The sequence below is a fragment of the Homo sapiens genome, chromosome 14 (assembly GCF_000001405.40).
Source record: "Homo sapiens chromosome 14, GRCh38.p14 Primary Assembly".
Lineage (NCBI taxonomy): Eukaryota > Metazoa > Chordata > Mammalia > Primates > Hominidae > Homo > Homo sapiens.
This window is the reverse complement of record NC_000014.9, coordinates 22,984,245-23,010,871: the sequence shown is the minus strand read 5'-3', so window position 1 is coordinate 23,010,871 and position 26,627 is coordinate 22,984,245. Positions and strand designations below refer to the sequence as shown.

Below are 26,627 nucleotides of genomic sequence, written 5' to 3'. Positions count from 1 at the left end.
CGGAGGGGCGGAGTTTACAGTGAGCGAAGATCATACCACTGCACTCCAGCCTGGGTGACAGAGCGAGACTCTGTCTAAATAAATAAATAAATAACAAATAGGTGGGTGGGACCAGATTATGGGTGGCTTAAAATCCAGGTATACCAGCTGTCTTCCTGGAAATAAAGAGGAGCCACTTTAGTTTTGAGAATGTGGTCTGAGCCAGGTAGATAAACTGGGAGCTCGGGCTGAAGTGTAAGACTTCAGAAAGATGTTCCATACGTGAATGTTCATTTAAACGTGGGGGTGTTAAGCAACACACGTGACCCAGAGACATTTCACCTGGAAACCGGAGTAGGGCCCACGCACCAAGTCCCTGATGTTTAATTGCAGTCTAGAATGTTACTGACTAGTTCACTCAATTTAACAAAGTGTCCGGAGGTCGCTCACTGGATTGTTATGCTGGTGACTGGGCCTTGTTTCACTGAGAAAAAAAGATGGGAAAGGGTGACAGGACGGTGAGAAAGTGAAAGGGAGAGAGGTGGGAAAGGGGTCTGCCAAGGTCCAGGCGAGGTTGGGGGTCGGGGGTCCGGCGGCCCTCAGGGCCCCCCCCGCCCCCAACTCCGGGGTTGGCGCCTCGGGCGCGGCGCGTGTGCTTGCGGGCGGGGCGCCCCGCGGCCGCGGACGGCCAATCCGGGAGGGCGTCCGGGGAGGGGCGGGGCTTGCCGGCTCGGGCTCCGCGAGTCCTCCTTTTTGCACACACACGAATACAAAGAGCCATACGACCTTCGGGTATCCTTTTTCCATTTTTTTTCCTCCTTAATCTTGTGTGTGTTTTCAAATTTTTTAAAAATAGAGATCTGTAGCAGTGTTGGGGTGAGGAAACTGTTGCTAAGGGGAATTTGCTCTTTCCCCCATTTCTTTTTCTGTCTCTCTTCCTCTTTCTTTTTCCTGGTCAAGGTTTTAAATATACCAAGAAGTTGAGAAGCAGGATGGCCGTGTACAACCGTTTCCGGCCAAATTTATAGTTTTTTTTTCTTTTTTTTAAATCACATTTTAAGAACTGGTAGATTTTTGTGGTTGAGGGACTTTAAAAATTTAGCCGCTTGGGAAGTACAGAATTTTTTAAGCGGGCTGAAGGGATAATGTAAATTTCTGCCACAGGCAACATCGAAGGAAGCAGAGAGATTTGAGGCTCCCTCATAAAGCCGTTTGCGTGCTTTTTACACACCCACCCCCCCAGAACCAAAACCAAGTGGCTGGGATGTGGCACTTGTCCAAGGCCAATAAGTTAATATTGGGATATTATAATGGAGACATTCATTTCCCTAGGGAAGGGGGAAAGACCTTAATTACAGTGTGTCTTTCACACACATTTTCATTAGAACATTTGTGTGTGTGTGTGTGTGTTTCTTGAAACAAATTTGTAAAGTTATAACTTGGGGTTATTTGTGTATATGTACAATATGTGTGTATATGTGCCATATCAGATTTTATTTTCAAAAGTGATAAATATATCTGGTTTTATGTGTGCAAAGTATCCCCTAGGATGTGAATTTTTTTCCGTTGTCTTCCCAAATGTGATCAAAATATTTTGTGTGCAAAGCAGAGCTTAGAAGAAATCCTATGCTTAGCATACTTAGGCACTTTCTATGTGCATTTACTATATTTTTCTGCTCCTAAAGGATCAGAATAATGAATAATTAAATAATTGCCAAGGAGTATATAGTCCATGTGGCAAATGAGAGTAGGCAATTTATTGAATCTGTGGTTCAAAGCCTTCAGTGACTGTTTTGCCTAAGTGGTTTTGCTTTTTATTGTCTCACGTTCTTAAGTGTACAGCTGTGTATATTTTGGCCTTTATGTGTGGTTTGGTTGGTGTGTTCAGAAGGGAAGTTCTTTCTTGGCTTTTTGACAAAATGGTCGTTTATTGGTTGGAATATTCGAAAAGCTCCACAGCTGGCAAAGTATCAGGAAAAAAATCCAGTCAAGTGTAATTCTCAAAAACTGTTCATGGTGATGGTGATGGGGAGCCAAGAGGATGCAAAGGCAAATAATAGAAGGGATAAGAAATGCCTTTTGGTTATCATGTTGCATTTTTAGAATGGAAAGCTTCTCATTTCTAAGAGTCACAGAAAAAAGTATATGAATTAGAGAAAAACAGGCTCGCAGAGCAGAACCTCCTGTTATAGGAGCCCTATTTTCACTTCATTCTGTTACAGAATCACTATCTCCTCATTAGAAGTTGTATGGAAAATATCTGTATCCAAATTTGTATTCGCAGATTGGAGTGAAAGCATAGGAGGTATATGAGGTGCTGAGGGAGAAACTGGAATGTCACAAATGCAGTGACAACCAGGAGACAAAAAAAAAAATCTACTGTAGAATTTAAATTTCATTACAACAAAACTTCTGTATAATAATGCATTTCTATTACACAGCTAGCATCCTACTCTATTTCAAGCAGTATTTGACTCCTAAATACTGACTGCAATAAAGTTACTTGTACAAATTTATAACAAAAGTGGCCCTGTTTGGGCTTTCTGGGTTTCTTACTTGTGCTGAGTGTATTTTTATTCTCTAACAATTCAAGTCAGACCAGTGCTTAATAAATACTGGCTCGACTGTGGATTATTCCACAATTTCAGACCTGCATTTCTTTGAAATCTAGTCACATTTTAGTGATCTTTGTGATCACAACAGTGATGGGAGTTTTTTTTTTTTTTTTTTTTTTTTTTGAAACGGAGTTTCGCTCTTGTTGCCCAGGCTGCAGTGGCAATGGTGCGATCTTGGCTCACTGCAACCTTCGCCTCCTGGGTTCAAGCGATTCTCCTGTCTCGGCCTCCCGAGTAGCTGGGATTACAGGCATGTGCCACCATGCCGGGCTGATTTTTGTATTTTTAGTAGAGACGGGGTTTCACCATGTTGGTCAGGCTGGTCTCCAACTCCTGACTTTAGGTGATCCGCCCGCCTCTGCCTCTCAAAGTGCTGGGATTACAGGCGTGAGCCACCGCGCCCGGCCAGTTACGGGAATTTTTAATGGAGTTTTACCCTTTTTAGCTCTTTTCCACATCACTACAGGTCATCACATATACTTTTTACCTTACTTTTTAGCGTCTCAAAAAATAGGGAGAGCTCTCCCTGAACAGTGCAGAGCCCGTATCCCTGATTTCCTAGGCTATTTGATTTCTACATCCAGGAACGTAGGGTCATATCCACTGTTCTTGCTTTTTCTTCCTAAGAAAGGAGAGAATTCCTCGCACATATATATCGTTGGCTTGGCCTTCCAAAGCAAAGCAAAACTAAACTCTGTTGATTTTGCCTGGGAATCCTCGGGGCCCCTAGTATTGGAAACTTCTTTGAACTGTGAGGAGCTGCTAATTTGCAGGTGACATGTGAAAGAAATGTAACCGAGGCCAGCAGTAACTAAAAGTCGGCCACCACCCAACGTGTGACGCCGATTTGTGGCCACTGTGCTTATAATCGTGTACACACAGGTTTGTGAGCAGCAGAGAACAAAAGCAAGTAAACAAAAACAAGCTAAAGATGGCGTCTGACGGCCTTGAAAAAGCCTCACAGTCTTGTCCCTCCCTGAGGAGGCCCCTCCCCTACCTGACTTTTTGAGTGACTGTTGTTTGCAGCCAATAGTGTCCGTGACCCTGCTCCCCAGCCATCGTCTAACCGCCAATCACCGGGAGCCAGAAGGCAAACGGGGCGGTGTCTCCCCGCGTGCGCGCGGTAGCCGGGTACACGGGCAGGCGCCGCGGATAGTTCTGTCTCCCGCGCGCCCGCCTCCGCCTCTGCCTAGCTGAGTCAGCCCGTGCGGTAGCGCCAGGCACACGCGGTAGAACATCTGTAGGGCTGCAAAGCTGCACCTCCGCGTCAGTTCTCACGGCGAGCGCCGCCTTCAGCCCAAGTTCTCAAAGCTCTCGGGGCTACGTAGTCTACCCTCCCCGGTGACCCGGCGAGATCCCTAGCCGCTCCTCCGGCCGCTCTGCTCTCCGCATCCCTCGCGGGAATGACCCCCTTTACCCGGGACTCCCAGAGCGCACTGTATGGTAGGGCACAGTGGCGAGTCACCCTGTCCCCTGAGGCCTCTTGAGCAGTCGCCGATCTCTGCTTCCCGCGTCGCTGCGATCGCCTTTCCCGTAGCTGAATCACACTGACCCATCGGAAACGGTTCTGCCCTCCCTGGGGTCCACCTTGTCATCCTTGACTAATATTTAATCAACTAACATTTACCAAGTTCTCGCTGGCACGAGTTCTAGGAGCTACTTTTTCATTTTTCAGTTTCTCCATAAATGCAGTGGGTCCTTTAGGCAAACCTGAAATCGGAAATATTAATCTTACCAATGTAATCTTAGCAAATGTAAATAAAAAGGACTGTGCTATACTGGGCTAAAAATTCTCATCCTGCTATAGAAATATACGTGGAATTTTCAGATTACGTGGAATCCTTTAAAGACCGCATTCGGCCTTCTGGGTCTACAGCTCTCTTTTTTACCCCTAAAAATAAGGTCTTGGATTTTTTGCAGACCATTAGTCGAGTCACTCTTTTAAAATGTGGGAAAATAGTATTTTGTGGTATTTACTTAGCTGCTCTTGTGTGATAAGGAGCTCATTTCTGATAAAAATAGGTTTTGAGAGAACCTTTTGACAGGTGAGCCATTTTGCACCTTGAAGTGGAGGAGTAGGACTGACCAACACAGCAGGAGCTTTAAGTGGCCGTTTTCCTTATTTATTTCTTAAAATGAAGATTATGATATGAATTGCCATGCTTTCAGTAATCACATTTAAGGAAGTCTATTGCTAGCATGACCCTGAATGAGTCAAGCACCCATTATAAAAACATATATCATCTGAGTGATACCATATCATACACATCTATTAAATAGTGAGAAAACTTTTATTTTTCATAGTTTGGAGGTGAACTCAGTCATGCAGAAAATTCAAACTCAGAATGGGGAGAAAGCAAGCAAGGGAACTGCCAAGAGTATGATATATTTAGTCCTAACAAAAATGTGACTTGGGAGGAAAGGGATAGTTAAAATTATGGACAGTCTTACCCTGAACTGTCTGTCTAAAGGAGATGAATTGTCTTTCTTTTTTATCTAAATATTTATGAAAAATACCAAAAGTACTGGAAAGTACATTTTTAAGGCTCGTTTCACATTTATTTAAATTAGACCAATACTGAAATGAACCCCAAATGCTTATATTTTTTGCAAACCTAAGTGTGACATCTACTGTCATGTTGTGTTGGCAACGCATCCCAAGATTGAAGATCTTTTTCTCTTTTTTAGACCTAGTCAGTTGTTTTCAGGACTTTCTACTTAAACATGTTGCCATCATTTGAAATTTAAAATGTTAAATAAATACACTTCTTCTCTAATATACTGGTGTCTCCTCTTTTTATTTATTTATTTTTTAGAGACTGGGTCTTGCTATGCTGCCGAGGTTGGTCTCAAACTCCTGGGCTCAAGCGATCCTCCTCCTCCCAAAGTGCTGGGATTACAGGCATGAGCCACCATGCCCAGCCATGGTATTTCCTCTCAACTGCCTCATTTCTGTCATTCTGGTGGTGGTGGTGGTACCATCCTGTTACTCTTAGGCTTATAACCTTGCAGTTGTCTTTAACCAATTATCTCTATACCCCATCTCTATAACTCTGTCAATTCTCCTTATCTTACTATATAAGCGCCTTTGCTCTGACCTCTGACATGTACCCTGTTAAGTCCTGTAATTTTTTTTTTTTCCTCTAGAATGTCTTACTACCCTATCAGTTAATCCTATACATTGCTCAAGGCTCAACTGGAAGCTTTTCTTCTGTAAGAACTCTTTCTCAGTATGATTTCATTTTGTTAATGTTTCCATTATTTTGAACTAACGCCTCAGAAATTTTTCAGTCTATACCATATTATTAGGACTTGTGTGTATTTCACTTTGTTATTTATTTGTTTGTTTATTTATTTTTGAGACGGAGTTTCACTCTTGTTGCCCAGGCTGGAGTGCAGTGGTGCGATCTTGGCTCATTGCAACCTCCACCTCCCGGGTTCAAGTGATTCTCCTGCCTCAGCCTCCCGAGTAGCTGGGATTACAGGCATGTGCCACCACACCCAGCTAATTTTGTATTTTTAGTAGAGACAGGGTTTCTCCATGTTGGTCAGGCTGGTCTCGAACTCCTGACCTCAGGTGATCTACCCGCCTCAGCCTCCCAAAGTGCTGAGATTATAGGTTTGAGCCACTGCACCTGGCCTCAATTTGTTTTTTAGATAGTCCATGTTTAGAACATCCCATATTCTTTAGACATTCCCATCTGAAATACACTTTAAGTGCCTTATAGGTAGAGACTTTGTCTTCCTTTCATTTGAGTAGTGTGCAATGCATTTTGGTGAGTCATCCTTTAACATGGACTTACATATAAAAAACTTTTGGGCCTGGGCACAGTGGCTCACACCTGTAATCTCAGCACTTTGGGAGGCCAAGGTGGGCGGATCACTTGAGGTCAGCATTCATTAGTCAGGTGTGGTGGTGCATACCTGTAATCCCAGCTCTTCGGGAGGCTGAGGCAGAAGAATCGCTTGAACCTGGGAGGCAGAAGTTGCAGTGAGCCGAAATCGTGCCACTGCACTCCAGCCTGGGCGACAGAGTGAGACTCTGTATCAAATATATATATATATATTTTGGCCGGGAACGATGGCTCACGCCTGTAATCTCAGCACTTTGGGAGGCTGAGGAGGGCGGATCACAAGGTCAGGAGTTCAAGAGCAGCCTGGCCAATATGGTGAAACCCTATCTCTACTACAAATACAAAAATTACCTGGGAGTGGTGGCACATGCCTGTAGTCCCAGCGACTCTGGAGGCTAAGGCAGGAGAATTGCTTGAACCTGGGAGGTGGAGGTTGCAGTGAGCCAAGATCGTGCCTCCACACTCTAGCCTGGGCGACAGAGCGAGACTCTGTCTCAAAAAAAAAAAAAAAAAAAAAAAAAAAAATATATATATATATATATATATATATATATATATATATATATGAATATATTAGCCTAAAAATATCTCACCCCACTCACCAGCTCACCTTCTTTTTTTCTGAGCCGGAGTCTCGCCCTGTCTCCCAGGCTGGTGTGCAATGGTGTGATCTTGGCTCACTGCAACCTCTGCCTCCTGGGTTCAAGCCATCCTCCTGTCTCAGCCTCCTGAGTAGCTGGGATTACAGGCACGCGCCAGCATGCGCGGCTACTTTTTTTTGTTTTGTTTTTTGTATCTTTAGTAGAGACAGGGTTTCACCATGTTGGCCAGGCTGGTCTCGAACTGACCTCAGGTGACCCGCCCACCTCAGCCTCCCAAAGTGCTGGGATTATAGGCGTAAGCCACGTGCCTGGCCCAGCTCACCTTCTTTAATGGGGGTATATGCAGCTAATGAAATTAATGTTTTGTTTTGAGTCATTTATCCAGCACTTAAGTAGTTACCTGGTTAGTAAATATAATGTGAAATACTCGTTTATTACCTGCTGATCCCAATATCTTTCCATATCTTAGAGTTTAGGTGAGAGACTATAGCAAGAGGCTGGGAAATGAAGTCAGCAATAGTGTCCATGGAAACCAAAAAAGAATTCTTTGAATGCCCATTGTGCTAGACCACACTGTACCTAGTTTTTATAGGCAAATTAATTCAGGAAAACACCTATTTGTTGCCCTGAATGTGATGTTTTAAAATGGACATAGTATGGTAACATACAAAGTAGAAAAACAGAAGAGCAATTGAGGAACAAATTGAACTCACAATAGGAAAATACATTTAGCATTAAAAACTAGCATAAAATATTATCCTTAGTCTGAGACCAGGTCATGATAGCAAGTAAATTACAAATACTAAATTACCTTTCTAATTTGCGTCATAGAAGGTTTTGTATCTATAAATGCATCCTCATAGACTTGAGGAATGTGTTGTTTGTTAGAAATTCAATATTAAATTTGGGGGCAAATTTCCCCAAATTCTATTTCAAGCCATTGCATTTTATTCAAAATTAGGGAATCAGGAATCAAGGTGGTGGCTCGCACCTGTGATCCCAGCTACTCAGGAGGCTGAGGCAGGAGGATGGCTTGAGGCCAGGAGTTGAAGACCAACCTGGGCAACATAGCAAGACCCCGCCTCTTAAAAAAAAAAAGATTAAGGAATCAGGGTGGGTGTCCAGGTTGGGAACACAAAATGTTACAGGAATAACCATAATATCATCCAGCCGTTACTAGTGGAGCACTGACCATGTGCCAGCACTCTATAGGTGCCTTACATATATTATGTATAATCTTCACAAAAACCACTCAAAGTAGATAGTGATGAAGAAACTTGGTCTCAGAAAAGTGAAATAATTTACTAATGTTCACACAGCTCATAAATGGTGCAGCCAGAGGAGAACCTCATTTTTTTTTTTTTTTTTTTGAGATGGAGTCTCGTTCCATCACCCAGTCTGGAGTGCAGTGGCGTGATCTCGGCTCACTGCAACCTCTGACTCCTGGGTTCAAGCAATTCTTCTCCCTCAGCCTCCTGAGTAGCTGGGATTACAGACAAGTATCACCATGCCTGGCAATTTTTTTGTATTTTTAGTAGAGATAGGGTTTCACCATGTTGGCCAGGCTGGTCTAGAACTCCTAACGTCAAGTTATCCACCCACCTCAGCCTCCGAAAGTATTGGGATTACAGGTGTGAGCTACCACGCCCGGCCACCCTTTTTTTTTTTTTTTTGAGACGGAATCTCGCTCTGTCGCCCAGGCTGGAGTGCAGTGGTGCGATCTCGGCTCACTGCAAGCTCCGCCTCCCGGGTTCACGCCATTCTCCTGCCTCAGCCTCCAGAGTAGCTGGGACTACAGTCGCCCGCCACCACGCCCGGCTAATTTGTTTGTATTTTTAGTAGAGACGGGGTTTCACTGTGTTAGCCAGGATGGTCTCCATCTCCTGACCTCGTGATTCGCCGGCCTCGGCCTCCCAAAGTGCTGGGATTACAGGCGTGAGCCACCGCCCAGCCCTTTTTTTTTTTTTTTTTTTTTTTTTTTTAACCTGCAGTACAGTGCTGTTTTGGAAAGATGACCAAGGAAGGACGACCAAGGAAAGACTATTTAAAGAAGAAGGAGCTGGGCGCAGTGGCTCACACCTGTAATCCCAACACTTTGGGAAGCTGAGGCGGGTGGATCACCTGAGGTCAGGAGTTCAAGACCAGCCTGGCCAACAGCGCGAAACCCTGTCTCTACTAAAAATATAAAAATTAGCCATATGTGGTGGCACGTGTCTGTGATCCCAGCTACTTGGGAGGCTGAGGCAGGAGAATCACTTGAACCTGGGAGGCAGAGCTTGCAGTGAGCCGAGATCTTGCCATTGCACTCTGGCCTGGGCAACAGAGCGAGACTCCGTCTCAAAAAAATGATAAATAAAAATAAAAGAGAGGGGAAGAGCTTGAGGCAGGCTCAACACTGGTAGGGGTAAAAGCCTCTTGCAAGAAAGAGTAAGTGCGTGAGGCAAGAGAGTTTGGTACCAGAAAGGAGTTAGACAACTCAGCCAGTGTCCCAGCCGGATGCATCTTAATTACTGATTTTACAAATACTGAACCCAGCTGGCAAGCATTTGAATACTATTATTTATTATCACCAAAACATTCTTTTGCCCACAGCATCTATGTTTAAGAGCAAACTCCCTGCATGATGTAGGTTAAATAAAGAATTAAAAAGAAAAAGCTCTGCAGGAGCAGTGTAGGCCCTTATTTAGGAAGGAAAAGAATACATAAGTGATTCATCTATAAATTGACATAGAAGTGCTTAGTGCTTTCCTTTAACCTTTAGTTTTAATTTGGTTTAACCTTTAGTTTCAGGTTTAGCTGTGCCTCCCAGTGACTATAATGACAAGGAAGCTGTAAATGTATTTGAGTTAAGCTTTTGCGAGAAGTAAGTATCTGGCACAGAAAAAGCCATTTCTTCGATATAAAGGGTGGAAAGAGCAAATTAAAGACTATTCTTTAATAACCACATGTAATTAAAATGCATTGTCAGATTTATGTTTTAGTACCTCAGAGGCATTGATATTGCCTCTTTCTGAAATGAGATTGCCTATTCAAAAAGAAAAAAGAAAACCCTCAATATATAGAAAATTCTCTTAACCTCCTACTCTTTTTTTTTTTTTTTTTTTTTTGAGGTGGAGTCTCGCCCTGTTGCCAGGCTGGAGTGCAGTGGCACCATCTCGGCTCACTGCAACCTTTGCCTCCCGGGTTCAAGTGATTCTCCTGCCTCAACCTCCCGAGTAGCTGGGGTTACAGATGCCCGCCACTACGCCCGGTTAATTTTTGTATTTTTAGTAGAGACAGGGTTTCACCATGTTAGTCAGGCTGGTCTCAAACTCCTGACCTCAGGTGATCGGCCCACCTCAGCCTTCCACAGTGCTGGGATTACAAGCGTGAGCCACCATGCCCGGCTCCTCCTCTCCTTTTAATTGTGATGTTTTAATTTACAGGGTAAGAGAGAAATGCATCTCTCAGAGAAATTGTAAACATACTTAAGGTTTTGACATGGCACATCAGAAGGATTTTTTTTCTATCATCAAGTATTATTTAGAAAATTACAATATTTATTAAGTTCCCGGGAGTGTTCTCAGTGGTACAAATCAACTTCTTTACCCCTTTTTTTCTCTCCTGGAGTAGTTTAGTTGCTTAACTACAGTAATTTAAAAGAAAGGCAGTTTGGTTTATTACTGACATTCTGGTTTCTCCTTTAATGGGGGCTGGTCATGCAGGCAAAGTGACAGCATAGCTGTTCAAACATTCCTGTTGAATTTTGGATCCACCCTTAAGGAGCTTGAGAAATGAAGATAAGGGGCCCCACGGGTGATTTCTCTGGGCTCCTGGCTGGAAGATTCAGGACAGCTAGTTTCCATTACAGAGGCTCATGGCCCAGGTACACGACTATGTGGGAAAGGGGGCTGTGCAGCCCTGGGTTACCCCAGCTCAATTCCCTGATCTTTTCATTTCATTTCCCTGCCCTCATCCCCAAAGCATTAATGATATAATATAACAGTGAGAAGTTGGTGACATGCTGAGGGCTGCAGTGATGGATGTATTCCTTATTTAGGAGTGTTACTCTGAATGCATTTGTATGAAAATTACAGAGAGGGTAGAATCATGATTGTCATGATTGTTAATGTCAACAAAAAGTGGTATCAGTTAAAAAAAAATACAACACTACATTGAAAGTAGCAATAACTGGATTCTGCTGTTATTCCTCTGACCTTGAAAAAGACATATAACTTCTCCACATGTCTCTTCTCTGGACCTGGAGTAATATGTTTCCTAGTGCTGTTGAGTAGATGAGGTAACTTATGTGAAGTGTTCTGAACACCTTAAGGAACAATGTCAAAGCAATGAAATGCAGTACCATTATTACAGTAAAGATGGTGAGGAGGAGGAGGAGACAGATCTACATTTTCTTCCTTAATCTTCTAATCTTTCCAGATGCCGGAAGGTCCTTCTGAATCCCTTCCCTGTTCCTTAGGTTGCACTAGTCGGGGGTTCCATGCTGGGGGGCAGAAGGAATGCTCTCTACCGTCTGAAACCGTTCATCAGGAAGGCCTTGATTTGTGATGTGCTAGGAGAGCACAGGATCTGCAAATAGAAGGCACCTGTCTCCCTTCTGCAGGCCGAGGAGAGGCCGCCATGGACTGTGTGCTTCTTCATGGCTTGTTTACTCTTCTTTCACAGACCCTACAGCTTGGGGCCTGGGCTCCTCTGACCATCCTCATTGAGAAAGGAAAGTGAGTCCAGAGAAGTTGATGCTTCCTACCTGTTGGAGCGGCCCAGCAGTGTAAGCGTGGTTGTTACTGCCCCATCCGCCATGTCCTTCAGTGCCACCATTCTCTTCTCCCCTCCCAGTGGCAGCGAGGCCAGATGCTGCTGCTGCGCCTGTAAGAGTGAGACTAATGGAGGCAACACAGGCTCCCAGGGTGGGAATCCTCCTCCCAGCACCCCCATCACAGTGACTGGACATGGCTTGGCTGTTCAGAGCTCAGAGCAGCTCCTGCATGTTATCTACCAGCGGGTCGATAAGGCAGTGGGTTTGGCTGAAGCTGCTCTGGGTCTTGCCAGGGCCAACAATGAGTTGTTAAAACGTCTCCAGGAGGAAGTGGGTGACCTGAGGCAAGGGAAAGTGTCCATCCCTGATGAAGATGGGGAAAGCCGGGCACATAGTTCCCCACCTGAGGAGCCTGGGCCTCTCAAGGAAAGTCCCGGGGAAGCCTTTAAGGCTCTGTCTGCCGTGGAAGAGGAGTGTGACAGCGTGGGCAGCGGCGTGCAGGTGGTGATTGAGGAGCTGCGGCAGCTGGGAGCAGCCTCAGTGGGGCCTGGGCCTTTGGGCTTCCCAGCAACTCAGAGGGACATGCGGCTCCCAGGGTGCACGCTGGCTGCCAGCGAGGCGGCCCCCCTGCTCAATCCTGTGAGTATGGCAGCAGAGGGCTATTCCTCCTAGGTGCTTTTCCTGGCTTTTCACTCTTTTTCCTTTCTGTTCTTTTCTTTCCATCTTTAAACCTTTTGTTTGTATTTGTGATAAAGCAAAACAGTACCACGTTTCCTTTTCCTTCAGGGATAGTCAGCTCTATTTTCTTCCTGAACCATCAGCTTCTTTGGCAGAAGGTCATTTTTTGCTGTGTGTAGTGATGGGGTGCCCTTCCCTCTCTCTCAGTAGCTCCGCATGGCACCTTCTCTTCCACAGCTGTCTCGGCTGCTCCATGGACTCTGCCTCTCCTGGCGAGGATGCCTGCCGTGCACAGACGGCTCATTCATATTTTATCGCAGGCCCTCTGCTTGCCAAGAGGAATTCAGTACAAAGAGAGATGGGAATGTACAGGGGAGAGAGGCAGAGGTGGAGAGAGGAGGAAAAAGTGAGAGGACAAAGATAAAGATAATAGAAGACAAGTATAGGGAGGGAAAGAGACAAGTAGAAATGAAGGGCTGAGGGAGGAGAAAAAGTGAAAAAAGGGAGCACAGAAGAAAGGTGAATCTATGTGGAAAGAGAATCTACACCACGGGAGAGAGACTATGAGGTAAGGCGAGGGGGAGGTAGAGGAAAGGAAATAAAATGGGAAATGAGAAAAAGAAATGGCCAACTGATTGTTAACAGTAAGAGAATAACATATAGGGAGAAAGAGGGAAGAAAAGAAGGAAGCAAGCAAGCATATTTTGTGAGCAGGAAAAGACATAGATGTACATTGTGCTATTTCAGTTTCTTTACTGCTTAAGGGCCATATGAGCAGGAAAATCCTGGCTGAGTAGAGTAAGAACTGCAGAATGTCACACATGGAAGTATGAAAAGGAGATGGAGCAACTATAGAGATCTTAGAGATAGGAAAATAACAGATGTGGTGCCACTTGAGAGACGGTTGGAGTTCTGTCAGCTCTCCACCTTATTCTCCGTCTGTCCTCTCTTTTTCTCCTCCCCCCACAACAAGACATAGACACCCAGTAAAGAGTAAAGGAGCAGAACACATGGAGTAGATGGGAGGGATGAAACTCCCAGCCCATCTGCTGGATCTGAGAAATGAATACATAAACCCCTCTCTCCCCCTCCAGTGTAACACAGCAACTGGTCATTGCTCTCCTGAAGGCACAGCCATATGGGTAATGGCCACTGCTGCTCACCCCAGTCTGTGGCTGGTCAGGACTCTCCGTGGTTCCAGCTCAAGGGAGGACCTGGAAGGTGGGAGGCAGAAAGGTACCAGGCTAGGCATTGCCCTGAGCTGTGGGTTCTTTGAGGCAGGAAAGGCTTCCAAGCCGACAGGATGGAATTAGATTTCACAGCGCAGAAAGCAGCTCACAGGTCTATAAATCTCAGCCTCCTCCCCCGCATCTTTCTGTGTGTGTGTGTGTGTGTGTGTGTGTGCGTGTGCGTGTGTGTCCCCACTTTCAGTATTTTGTTTTCTTGACTGCAGAAATCCCCCCTCCTTTCTTCCTCCCTCTCTCCCTTGCTCCCTTCTTCCTTTCCCGGCTCTGTATGTCCTTGAGTGAGGGCACAGGCAGTCAGGTAGATGTCAGGGGCTATGACAGTCGAATGTGGCCGGGGCAGGATCAAGGTGAGGGCATGGACTGACTCTGGGAATGGAGGATAGGTGAGGGGAGCTGTTGCTGCCAGTCTCTCTAGGGATTTCTGACTTTATGTCTTCCTCCTTTGCTCATTTGTCTTTTATGTCTCCTCTTTATTGCTGTTACTGTTTTATTTTCTTACTCCTTCTCTTGCTTGGTTTCTTTCTTGTCATCACTTCTTCACCCAGTCCTTTCAGACAAAACACTTATCTAGCTCCATTTCTTATATCCAAGAGCTATCCATAAATGACTATTCACCAACAGTGTCAGAAACATGCTTTCTCCTTGTGAGCAGCCCTATGGTAACAACCCAACATGAGAGGCCCTGTACACACAAGAAATATTTGCCCAACACTCATAGGAGTCCCAGAGAAACAAGCCATTGACCATTAAAGACTGTGCTAGAGTTCCCCTTCTTTCCACTTTCTGTTCACTATTCTTAGCCAAAGAATGATGGTTAACCAGGTTCCCCTAAGCCTGGCTGGCTAATAGGCTATTATTTTTTATGTTCTTAGCTGGTGGATGATTACGTGGCCTCTGAGGGTGCAGTACAGCGAGTTCTGGTCCCTGCTTATGCCAAGCAACTCTCACCAGCCACACAACTGGCAATCCAGCGGGCAACCCCAGAGACAGGACCAGAAAATGGAACCAAGCTGCCACCACCCCGCCCTGAGGACATGCTCAATGCCGCTGCTGCGCTGGACAGTGCCTTGGAAGAGTCAGGCCCTGGGAGCACTGGGGAGCTGAGACACTCTCTAGGGCTGACCGTTTCCCCATGCAGGACCAGAGGAAGTGGGCAGAAGAACTCCAGGCGCAAGCGGGATCTTGTACTCTCTGTGAGTGAGCTCAGTTTCTATAAATTTTTCTTCAGTCTGGAGAGATAAGTGAAGAGTGATGGGTGGGTTGATTTTAGGCCTCCCATATTGAATGAATGCTGTACTGAATCCTACCAGAGTGGGAGGGATAAGGAGAGAGGTTATTCTGTAACACTAGGGATAGGAAGTCCCCTGCTAAACATCAAGCTTTTAGGCTTTTCCAGATAATGTGATATCTTCCTTTATATCACATCTCCTGGTGTTCTTTTTTTTTTTTTTTTTTTTTTTTGAGTCAGAGTCTCACTCTGTCACCCAGGCTGCAGTGCAATGGCATGATCTCAGCTCACTGCAACCTCCACCTCCCAGGTTCAAGCGATTCTCCTGCCTCAGCCTCCTGAGTAGCTGGGATTACAGGCACGTGCCACCACCCCCAGCTAATTTTTGAATTTTCAGTAGAGACCAGGTTTTGCCATGTTGGTCAGGCTGGTCTCGAACTCCTGAGCTCAGGTTATCCACCCGCCTCGGCCTCCCAAAGTACTGGGATTACAGGCGTGAGCCACCATGCCCAGCCTTCCTAGTGTTCTAATAATCCTGATGAGAAGATCTTTAAGGGATTGAGCAGATTGGTCACCAAAGGGTAACTCTGGAAATTGCCTGCAAATTAAGCTAGTGTGCAGAGTAAGTGACAAGGGGCACCTTGGGTGGAAAAGCAAGTGAAGCTGTCCTGAGGTGGTCTCAAGCTTCAGAGATGCAGAGAGTCACTAGACCTTCAGCTCAGTTATAGAGGTTTGGAGATTCCAGTCATTCCAAGAGCTCTTAGCCAGGAAGGGACTGGCCTGAACCAGGTCTGCCTGAACACTTCTTGGCGTGGCTGGGAGCCCAAAGAACATCCTGCTGAGCTGGGAGTCCCCATCCTGGCAGCTGACCAAACCTAGAGAAGTTCTAGGGCAGTAGTTCTCAACCTGGGGTGATTTTACCCTCAGGAGACATTTGGAAACATCTGGAGACGTTTGTGATTATTACAACTGGTGGGTGGCCGGGGGCAGGGGAAGGAGAATGCTACTGACATCTAGTGGGTGTTCTGCTAAACATCCTGCAGTGCACACGACAGCCCCCATAACAAAGAATTATCCAGCTCAAAATGCCAATAGTGAAGAGGTTGAGAAACCTTCTTTAAAGTGACCACAGTCTTTGGGATCAACTCTGTACCCAAAAACTTCTTTTTTTTTTTTTTCTTTCTTGAGACAGGGTCTCACTCCCATTGCCCAGGCTGGAGTGCAGTGGTGTGATCATGGCTCACTGCAGCTTCGACTTCCCAGGCTCAAGTGATCTCCCACCTCAGCCTCCCGAGTAGCTGGGATTACAGGCATGCACCACCATGCCTGGCTTATTTTTTGTATTTTTGTATTTTAGTTGCCCAGGCTGGTCTCACAAAAGCTTTTTTCTGACAACTGTGGGGATATTGTTTTTAGTCTCGCTCTGTCACCCAGGCTGGAGTGCAGTGGCGTGATTTCAGCTCACTGCAAGCCTCCCAGGTTCAAGCGATTCTCCTGCCTCACCCTCCCGAGTAGTTGGGATTACAGACTTGCACCACCACGCCTGGCTAATTTTGTATTTTAGTAGAGATGGGGTTTCACCATGTTGGCCACGCTGGTCTTGAACTCCTGAGATCAGGCAATTCACCCACCTCGGCCTCCCAAAGTGTTGGGATTACAGGCGTGAGCCACCATGCCTGGCTGGAGATATTCTTTAGCCATACAATGTTCATATTGACTATAATGAGTTTATAGTTACAATTTGCATAAAAGCAGGATTTTCCATCACTTCCATTCCACTTGTGCCTGCTGCCTCCAGAGAGAGGTACAGCATTGAGGCCTGGCTTCTTCCTTCCCTTAGGAGAGTGTGGTGGAACTGAAGACCTGCAGGAAGGACAGTATCCTCACTCACCATCATGCTCTCTCTATTCTGTGCTTGAGAAGGATCTGGAGGACTAGTCAGGGAGTTCTGCTGCCCATCATGGAGGAAGGTTTAAAATGTTCTTGTGGCAGACTGTGGGTTTAGAGGGGGAGGGACAGTTATTCCAATCTTTAGCTCTGGGACAGAATCAAAGAGGCATCTCTCCAATCTGCTGAGGCTCTTGAGGATTGCTGCTAGGGATCCTGTGAACCAAAAGGATCAAACCAGAATTCTTAATTCCTTGGAATGCTGCAGATCCCAGCCACTCCTTGGGGAAATATTTTTAGCTTATTCAGGAGGTAGGTGAGCCAACAGCCTTTACAGTCCTCACACTTATTGTCTAGAGTATTTTCCCTTTCCATGTCAAGCCTGTTTTGATTTTTATCAGCTGATCTCTTCCAAGCCACTTGAGTTGGAAGCTTTGTAACTCCCTTTTTTCTTTCCCCTTTTTTTGTTTTTTGTTTTTTTGAAACTCTCCCAAATACTTTCTGAAACATTCGCCCACTCCTTTGTGATTCCTTAAGTGTGGACTACTAAGAGGTAAAATAACTATGTTGAATATGCAGCTAGTATAATAATGGTCCTTTTTACAGAGTGGAGACCCTAGCCATAAAGAGTTGACAATACTTTCCTAAGTTGGTATGGTGAATCAGCCATAGAGGTAGAAGGATAAATTGGGGATTTCTGAATATGGAGCTGAAAAGTCCTTGGATCAGGATATTAATCTGTCAGTTTGGGACTGGGTAACTTCCACTGACTGAGGGAGCTTGGGATGAAAATACAATCAGAAACAACTAAACTTAATTGAAGGACATGTTAAAACCCTGCATTAGGGCCGGGTGCGGTGGCTCACGCCTGTAATCCCAGCACTCTGGGAGGCCAAGGCGGGCAGATCACCTGAGGTCAGGAGTTTGAGACTAGCCTGGCCAACATGGTGAAACCACGTCTCTACTAAAGATACAAAAATTAGCTGGGCGTGGTGGCGTGCGCCTGTAATCCCAGCCACTTGAGAGGCTGAGGTAGGAGAATCACTTGAACCTGGGAGGCGGAGGTTGCAGTGAGCTGAGACCACACCACTGCACTCTAGCCTGGACAACAGAGCAAGACTCTGTCTCTTAATAAATAAATAAAGCTGGGCGTGGTGGCTCATGCCTGTAATCCCAGCACTTTGGGAAGCCGAGGTGGGTGGATCACGAGGTCAGGAGTTCAAGACCAGCCTGGCCAACATGGTGAAACCCCATCTCTACCAAAAATACAAAAATTAGCTGGGAATGGTGGTGCATTCCTGTAATCCCAGCTAACTAGGGAGGCTGAGCCAGGAGAATTGCTTGAACCAGGACCCTGGAGGCAGAGGTTGCAGTGAGCCGAGATCACGCCACTGCACCCCAGCCTGGGCTACAGAGTAAGACTCCATCTCAAAAAAATAAAAAATAAAAATAAATAAATAAATAAATAAATAAATATTTTAGGTGCTATTATGGGCAAAACTGGGAACAGATTTTGAAGCATCTAAGGCAAAACTTTTTCTTTCTTTTTTTTTTTTTTTTGAAACAGAGTCTCACTTTATTGCCCAGGCTGGAGTGCAGTGGCACGATCTCAGCTCACTGCAACCTCCGCCTCCTGGGTTCAAGCAATTCCTCTGTCTCAGCCTCCTGAGTAGCTGGGACTACAGTCGCACGCCACCACGCCTGGCTAATTTTTGTATTTTTAGTAGAGATGAGGTTTCACCATGTTGGTCAGGCTGGTCTCGAGCTCCTGACCTCAGGTGATCCACCCGCCTTGGCCTCCCAAAGTACTGGGATTACAGGCATGAGCCACCACGCCCAGCCGGCAAAACTTTTTAATGAGTAGAAATGTTCAACAATAGAATAAGCTGACTCAGAATGGAGAACTCATCATTAGATGGGTATAAACAAAGTGGAAAGACAGCCTGTTTAATGATGTGAAAGGGAGATTGGGTAATATAATATAGCCTCCACGGTCTTTTCCGATTCACGTTTCTGTTATTTTAGATTTCTGTTTTTCAGACCATGGTGTATATACTCCAGAGATTTGTGGTAACACATGAAGAAATACATAAAGCCACAGACAAACCCGGGGCTTTTGCCTGGGTCATCAGTTTTACTAGCAGATTCCAGAAGATGGCCAGGCACGGTGGCTCATGCCTGTAATCCCAGCACTTTGGGAGGCTGAGGCAGGTGGTTCACGAGGTCAAGAGATCAAGACCATCCTGGCCAACATGGTGAAACCCCATCTCTACTAAAAATACAAAAATTAGCTGGATGTGGTGGTGGTGCACCTGTAGTCCCAGCTACTCGGGAGGCTGAGGCAGGAGAATTGCTTGAACCCGGGAGGTGGAGGTTGCAGTGAGCCGAGATCCCGCCATTGCACTCCAGCCTGGCAACAGAGTGAGACTCTGTCTCAAAAAGAAAAAAGAAAAATTGCAGAAGACATTTTTATATTAAACAGGCCCGGTGCGGTGGCTCACACCTGTAATCCCAGCACACTTTGGGAGGCTGAGGTGGGTAGATCACAAGGTTAGGAGTTCGAGACCAGCCTGACCAACATGGTGAAACCCCATCTCTACTAAAAATACAAAAATTAGCTGGATGTGGTGGTGGTGCACCTGTAGTCCCAGCTACTCAGGAGGCTGAGGCAGGAGAATTGCTTGAACCCGGGAGGCGGAGGATGCAGTGAGCTGAGATGGCACCACCTGCCTTGGCCTCCCAAAGTACTGGGATTACAGGCATGAGCCACCGCGCCCGGCTGGCAAAACTTTTTAATGAGTGCACTCCAGCCTGGGTGACAGAGTGAAACTCTGTCTCAGAAAGAAAAAAAAAAAGAAAAGAAATACAAATACATTTTGAAGAAAAAATTTAAATGTGCAAGAGTAGGGGCCGGGCGCAGTGGCTTACACCTGTAATCCCAGCACTTTGGGAGGCCGAGGCGGGCAGATCATGAGGTCAGGAGATTGTGACCATCCTGGCTAACACGGTGAAACCCCGTCTCTACTAAAAATACAAAAAATTAGCCGGACGTGGTGGCAGGCACCTGTAGTCCCAGCTACTCAGGAAGCTGAGGGAGGAGAATGGCGTGAACCCGAGAGGCAGAGCTTGCAGTGAGCCAAGATCGTGCCACTGCACTCCAGCCTGGGCGACATAACGAGACTCCGTCTCAAAAAAAAAAAAAAGAAAAGGAAAGAAAAAAAAGTGCAAGAGAAGGGGACTTCAGGAAATGTTCACTTGGCTGGGCGTGGTGGCTCATGCCTGTAATCCCACCACTTTGGAAGGTCAAGGCGGGCAGATCACCTGAGATCAGGAGTTTAAGACCAGCCTGGCCAACATGGTGAAACCCCGTCTCTACAAAAATACAAAAATTAGCCAGGCATGATGGCAGGTGCCCGTACTCTGAGCTACTCGAGAGGCTGAGGCGGGAGAATCGCTTGAACCCGGGAGGCAGAGGTTGCAGTGAGCCGAGATCGCGCCACTGCACTCTAGCCTGGGCGACAGAGCAAGACTCCATCTCAAAAAAAAAAAAAGAAAGAAAAGTAAAAAAGAAATGTTCACTCGCAGTACTCCTGGTGTATACTTGCTTTCTCGTTGCTATCAGGGGTATGTTCATGGAAATGTTTGAGACCCTCTGCTCCAGTGATCACACTACTCAGGAGCAGAAGTAAGGCCAGGGATGATCCTGGAATCCTGACACACATGAAATGAAAAGTCAGGGAAGACCACACTAGAAATAGTAACTTGGATAGGCTCTTGGCTTAGAAAGGATTCAGGCAGAGAGCCCCTTAGGGACAATACCTTTTTACCCTAGGGACCAGAGGAGAGTTTTCATAACATCCACTCTTGGCTTGATTGTGTTTTCTTTTTTTCCTCCTAGAAACTGGTCCACAATGTGCATAACCACATCACCAATGACAAGAGATTCAATGGGTCTGAAAGGTATGGTCTCCTTGAGGAAAAAGAATTAGAAGGTACTTTGCTAAGGACAGGGAAGTAGAGGGGGATGCTCCAATACAGCAATGAGACTAAGGCTTTGATCTCACCATACCTTCTTAGGCTGTGGAGGGATTTGCCACAAAGTTGATTAGTGCTGGGTATCTCTGTTTGTCTGGCTCTTACAAAGCCGACAACTTTATTCATTCTCTTCTCTTTGTGGCAGCATCAAGTCCTCTTGGAATATTTCAGTAGTGAAGTTTCTTCTGGAAAAGCTCAAGCAAGAGCTGGTGACCAGTCCCCACAATTACACTGATAAGGAGCTAAAAGGTGAGAAAAACTGGTTTAACTCCTATGCCATCCTTTCTCCCCCTCTCCTCCCACTCCTCTTTCTTGGTCAGAGGAGAAGAGGAATAATAGAGATGATTAGGTGGTTTTGAAAATAGTGGATTTGAAACATTTTTTGGCTATTCTCACCTTCAATATATTCATAGAATTATCTCAAATTGCCTGTTTATTTCCCTCTCAGTCTGAAACGAAAATGAGAGAAGGAAAGGGCTAGAACAGCATCATGCATTCTGTTTATGCAGGTCTTGCACCTAAGGTGTTACGAGGAGGAGGAATCTAAGGTGTTATGAGGAGGTGTTATGTTCAGAAGCCAGGCCTGCCCCTTGGTCCCTAAATATTATTTCCCAGGCTTTCTCTTTCCTTGCTCTCTTTTGTTATTTGTAGCTAACCCTGAAGTATTATGAAAGCTTCTGCTGAAAAAGTACTTGTAGAGCCAGGTAACGTGGCTCATCCCTGTAATCCTAGCACTTTGGGAAGCCAGGGCAGGAGGATTATTTCAGTCCAGGAGTTCGAGACTAGCATGGGCAACATGGCGAAACCCAATCTTTACCAAAAACAAACAAAAATAACAAAAATTAACTGGGTGGGGTGGCATGCATGACGTAGTCCCAGCTACTTGGGAGGCTGAGGTGGGAGGATTGCTTGAGCCTGCGAGGTGGAGGTTGCATTGAGCCAAGATCGTGTCACTGAACTCCACTGTGGGCAAACCTTGTTTCAACGAAAAATAAAAAAATACTTGTAATCTTCCATCAGAGTGGCAATAGGGGTAGATTGTTGTTGTTTTTAAATTTTTTTTTAAATAGAGACTGAGTCTCACTATGTTGCCCAGGCTGGTCTCAAACTCCTGGGCTCAAGCAATCCTCCTGCCTCAGCAGGAGGCCTCCCAGAATGTTGGGATTACAGGTGTGAGCCACCACGCCCAAGAAGGGGTAGGTTTTATTTGGTGGAGGGAGCGGGGAGACACAGAAGCGATTGGAGTTGTCTTTTTCCAGTGGGAGATATTTGGGAGGAGTTAGTGTTGGAGATGGAGGTGGGCAAAGAAAGCTAAACCAATTAGCCGGCCATGGTGATGTGCACCTGTAGTCCCAGCTGCTCAGGAGGCTGAGGCTGGACGATCACTTAAGCCCAGGAGTTGGAGGCTGCAGTGAGCATGCATGACCATGCCACTGCCCTCAAGCCTGGGTGACAGAGCGAGACCCTGTCTCATAACAAAATCATAATAAAATAAATAAATAAAAAGAATCCTAACCAAAGAGGAGTGAAGATGCTAATGCCTATGCCAAGAAAGCCCAGCATCTAGGCCAGGCACGGCTGCTCACGCCTGTAATCCCAGCTCTTTGGGAGGCCAAGGCAGGTGGATCACCTGAGGTCAGTAGTTTGAGACCAGCCTGACCAACATGGAGAAACCCCATCTCTACTAAAAAGAGCTGGATGTGGTGGCACATGCCTGTAATCCCAGCTACTCGGGAGGCTGAGGCAGGAGAATCGCTTGAACCCAGGAGGCGGAGGTTGTGGTAAGCCGAGATTGTGCCATTGCACTCCAGCCTGGGCAACAAGAGTGAAACTACATCTCAAAAAAAAAAAAAAAAGCCCTCATCTAAGTAGTGATCGCCAACCTCCCATTCAATAGTGTTAGGGCAGAAAAACGGGCTGGGGACCACTACTCAGAGGACCCTCCTTCTTGCTCCCTTCCTTCCCTCCCCGCCAGGAGCCTGTGTGGCCTACTTCCTTACTAAGAGGCGTGAGTACCGCAACTCCCTGAACCCCTTTAAAGGCCTGAAGGAAAAAGAGGAGAAGAAACTTCGAAGTCGCCGATATCGGGTAGGTTTCTAGGCCTTTCTTTCAAGATACTAAACTCTAAACCCTTTCCTAAGTGGGAAGGGCCAGAGGACATGGCATATGAGAATAGGGTTGAGAGCCAGGAATGTAGGAAGATAGAGAAGAACAGTGAGCCAATGCTAAGATCTGACTTGGGGACTGGGTTCACTTAGGCACAGATTTTACACAGCCTTCCCCACCAAACCTTTTCCCCAAATCTAATCCATAGAATGTTTACCTTCCTAATCTATCTCCTGGGTTCCTGCCTTAGCTTTTTGCCAACCGATCCAGTATCATGAGGCATTTTGGACCTGAGGACCAACGTCTGTGGAATGATGTGACAGAGGAACTGATGTCAGATGAAGAGGACAGTCTTAACGAGCCAGGTGTGTGGGTGGCCCGCCCTCCCCGTTTCCGGGCCCAGCGCCTCACAGAGCTCTGCTACCACCTGGATGCTAACTCTAAGCATGGCACCAAAGCCAACCGTGTGTATGGGCCTCCCTCAGACAGACTGCCTTCTGCTGAAGCCCAGCTCCTTCCACCAGAACTTTACAATCCTAATTTCCAAGAAGAGGAAGATGAGGGAGGGGATGAGAATGCACCTGGCTCCCCATCTTTTGACCAACCCCACAAAACCTGCTGTCCTGACTTGAACTCATTCATTGAAATCAAGGTGGAAAAGGATGAATAAAATCTACAGCCAAGAATAACTCTGGCTTCCGCCATGCCCCATGTCTCAGAAATAGGTGGCCATGGGGCTTCACAAAATAATGAGATGCTCTGTGCAGTCTGAGAAAGCAAATTTGCCTCTTTTCTTAACACAGTCTCTACTGGGGAAGCAGAACACTGGTGGGATAAAAACTTATCTAGAAGGGGAGAAACTCCCTCCACTGTGAACAGTAAGCCAGAATATGCTTATTCCTCAGCATAAACAGTATCTCGGAGAAGCCTGGGATGAGAAAATGAGGAGGATGGGTCCAAGAAACATGAGGCCTTCTTGACATATGCCCTGTCTCTGAGTTGTTTCTGCCCCTGCCCAGTTCCACCCAAAGCTCTGAGGAAGCAGCCCAGGTTGTACCTTTTGCTTCCCTGTGACTACTTGTCTTGCTCTGCAGTGGAAACCGAACATGACCAGTGCAGGTTAATACCGCCACCTGGTGGGCAGTTTCAGTCATGAGCTTGAGTCTTCTGACCAAGGGAACACAAGTTCTATCACTATTGGGGAATTGGGTTCCTGATATAATAGCTATTGTTTATTGAATTACATGAGGAAAATTTTACTATTCCTATCTTACAGATGAGGAAATTAAGGCTTAAAGAGTTCCCGTGTCTCACCGGCAGCCTCTCTCTCACTATGTGACCAAGCAAAATACACAGCTTTGTAGCTGTTTCTTGGTCCTGTCAGCCAAGCTGTATTTTGAGGAAGGGGTGTGCATTTTGGATGGATTGAAAAGCAAAAATGGCTTTACATTTATTCAGTCTTATAACAAACATTGATCGCTTTACTAGGTGTCAGGTACTGTGCTATGGATACATTGTTGATAAGGTTGGATGCTGTTCAGAGATTTTTTTAGTTTAGTCAGGAAGCCAGGCAGTGGAGTAGGCAATGAAATGAACTGTGATAAGGGTGACCATGGTGGAGTGTAGTGCACTATGGCAATATACAGCAGGGGTAGCTAACCTACTCTTGCAGTCTGGAAAGGCTTCTTCTGAGAGGGTGTAATGTCTAAACTGGGGAAGAGTTAACCAGAAGGAAAGGGGAGGCTAAGAGAGTGTTCCAAACAGGGAACTGCAGGTACAAAAGTCCAGGGGCAAGAGAGAGTACAGACAAGGTCCAGTTCTACTGCAGACTTTTGGGGAAGGGATAATGCTAGAGGAGAGGCTGGAGAGTGAGACAGACCTCATAATACAGAGTACAGACTTCAACCCAAGGGCAGTGAGAAATCATTGAAAGTTTGTTTTAGCAGGGAAATAAAACGACAGGTTTTGCCTACAGGCAGTCCCCAACTCAACGATGGTTCGACTTAGGATTTTTCAACTTTACGATGGTGCGAAATGATTCAGTATGCTCCTCACCTTATGATGCAGTTATATCAGATAAACCCATTTTAAGCTGAAAATATGGTGAAGTTGAAGAAGCACTTCTGCCTTACGATATTTTCAATTTATAATGGATGGGTTTATTCAGACATAACTCCATTGTAAGTCGTAAAGCTTCTGTACTGAAAAAAATCACTTGACCTCAGGGTATAAGATGGATTGCAGGGAGCAAGCCTTGGCCAGGAGACTTTTGCATTGGTTTCGGAGAGGAAAGACGGTGACTTGACATATATAGTGGTGATGAGGGGAGGACAGATTTGGAAGATGTTTAGGAAGCAGAATTAATAGAACTTGGTGATTGATAGGACTTGGTTGGATTTGAGGTTAAGGGAGAAGGAGGACATAGGGTTGACGCTCAGATTTCTAGTTTAAGCAGCTAACAGGATTGTGCCATTTACTCAGAGAATGTTAGAGGAGCCAGTTTCATGAGGCAGAGAAGATGAGATCAGTTTAGGATATTGGGTGCTTCTGAGACAGCCATTGGAGATGCTAGTAGTTAGTTGAGTTTTTAATTCCAAGAAAGACTGGGCTGGAAATATGGATTAGGGAGTCACCTGCATATACAGATTATAATTAAAGTCTTGGGAACGAAGAGGGCCTTTGGAGATCCCAGCTCCAGTTTAGACTGTGGAGAGGCCACCTGAGGTCATGAGCACTATTGGAGCATGCCCTATTAGCATATGCGTCTTCTACTTCTTCCCCTTCACTCATCTCTGCTTCCAGTTATCCCTTGAAAACACAGGCTGTTCATCCCAGTTGTGCCCATTGCTACCACCAACTCTTGCATGGGCCTCCTTTAATGGCCTCCCAACATTTCATAAGATTTCCTCTCGCATCCTCACCCCAAAGGATCAAAGCTTCCAAATATTAGTAGTTGTGTGGATATTTTGGATGTAATTGGAAGGAAGAATCAAAGTTCTCCTTCCTCATCTGGACACAGGAAAGGAGGGAACACATTATGGTTAATTCTGAAGATGTTGCTCACAGCAGGTTCTAGATGCAATCCGATAGCTCCCCTCTGTTCCTAGTGCTTTCAGTCCTCCCTGCTTCCACTCTGGTAGGAAACTCTCCTCAGGATCAGAGAAAAGCCGTGGCCTTGACCAGGGAAACAGAGGCTGATTCTCAGGGGAGATGAGGTCAGGGAGACAATGCAACTAGGACGAAGAAGCCAAATAGTTTGGCACAAATTAATTTCCCAAAAGATATTAACCTCGTTTCTTTCCACATTCCCTAAGGCTACACTAAGATTATAAAAGGTGTTCAAAATGTTGAGATGAAAATAATATGCATGACTTGTTTGCATATAATTTTCATACTCATTTACTATCTAAATACAAAGGAGTCATTTTCCTTCTCCATTCTACTTCCTCCACCCCTTGCCCCTGATGTTTTAGTCTGGGCAAAAGTAGTTGGCTGGTTTTTAAAAAATTTTTTTGAGACGGAATCTCCCTCTATCGCCCAGGCCTGAGTGCAATGGCACAATCTCGGCTCTCTGCAACCTCCGCCTCCTGGGTTCACGCGATTCTTCTGCCTCAGCCTCCCAAGTAGCTGGGACTACAGG

At 45.8% G+C, this 26,627-nt stretch overlaps 1 protein-coding gene and 2 long non-coding RNA genes across 33 annotated transcripts, besides 5 other annotated features; 1 reads left to right on the top strand and 2 right to left on the bottom strand.

Annotated features, from left to right (window-relative positions):
* Positions 391-740: a silencer, noted in NCBI's record as "silent region_5599". NCBI's record gives its function as "represses an Ori minimal core promoter by ATAC-STARR-seq in GM12878 lymphoblastoid cells {active_cell/tissue: GM12878}" and the evidence as "EXISTENCE:reporter gene assay evidence [ECO:0000049][PMID:35858748]".
* Positions 729-24,978, top strand: C14orf93 (chromosome 14 open reading frame 93). Of its 31 annotated transcripts, XM_047431671.1 has the most exons (10): positions 729-771; positions 5,785-5,807; positions 9,835-9,913; positions 11,716-11,818; positions 12,131-12,445; positions 14,604-14,924; positions 20,745-20,806; positions 21,027-21,130; positions 22,857-22,969; positions 23,238-24,978. In XM_047431671.1, exons 5-10 carry the CDS (start codon positions 12,389-12,391, stop codon positions 23,655-23,657), a joined length of 1,077 nt encoding a protein of 358 aa, XP_047287627.1. In that variant the 5' UTR covers positions 729-771; positions 5,785-5,807; positions 9,835-9,913; positions 11,716-11,818; positions 12,131-12,388; the 3' UTR covers positions 23,658-24,978. The 31 variants fall into 31 exon arrangements, with proteins under 31 accessions (XP_047287627.1, XP_006720295.1, XP_016877065.1 ...); XM_006720232.3 differs by lacking the exon at positions 5,785-5,807; XM_017021576.2 differs by lacking the exon at positions 5,785-5,807 and having other exon boundaries at positions 11,470-11,818.
* LOC124903286 (uncharacterized) lies at positions 1,888-8,446 on the bottom strand. The gene is made up of 2 exons (XR_007064075.1): positions 7,489-8,446; positions 1,888-4,304 (listed from the first exon to the last, which is right to left on the bottom strand). It is a non-coding gene; the product is annotated as an uncharacterized LOC124903286 (long non-coding RNA).
* Positions 2,368-2,928: an enhancer, noted in NCBI's record as "H3K27ac hESC enhancer chr14:23477153-23477713 (GRCh37/hg19 assembly coordinates)". NCBI's record gives its function as "activates a minimal SCP1, AML or CMV promoter by ChIP-STARR-seq in naive H9 embryonic stem cells {active_cell/tissue: H9 hESC(naive)}" and the evidence as "EXISTENCE:reporter gene assay evidence [ECO:0000049][PMID:30033119]".
* Positions 3,652-3,701: a silencer, noted in NCBI's record as "silent region_5598". NCBI's record gives its function as "represses an Ori minimal core promoter by ATAC-STARR-seq in GM12878 lymphoblastoid cells {active_cell/tissue: GM12878}" and the evidence as "EXISTENCE:reporter gene assay evidence [ECO:0000049][PMID:35858748]".
* Positions 3,862-4,231: an enhancer, noted in NCBI's record as "active region_8156". NCBI's record gives its function as "activates an Ori minimal core promoter by ATAC-STARR-seq in GM12878 lymphoblastoid cells {active_cell/tissue: GM12878}" and the evidence as "EXISTENCE:reporter gene assay evidence [ECO:0000049][PMID:35858748]".
* AJUBA-DT (AJUBA divergent transcript) lies at positions 12,442-26,548 on the bottom strand. Its single transcript, XR_007064074.1, has 3 exons — positions 26,052-26,548; positions 20,666-21,123; positions 12,442-13,698 (listed from the first exon to the last, which is right to left on the bottom strand). It is a non-coding gene; the product is annotated as an AJUBA divergent transcript (long non-coding RNA).
* Positions 24,032-24,141: a silencer, noted in NCBI's record as "silent region_5597". NCBI's record gives its function as "represses an Ori minimal core promoter by ATAC-STARR-seq in GM12878 lymphoblastoid cells {active_cell/tissue: GM12878}" and the evidence as "EXISTENCE:reporter gene assay evidence [ECO:0000049][PMID:35858748]".
* Positions 26,549-26,627: the final 79 nt, after the last annotated feature.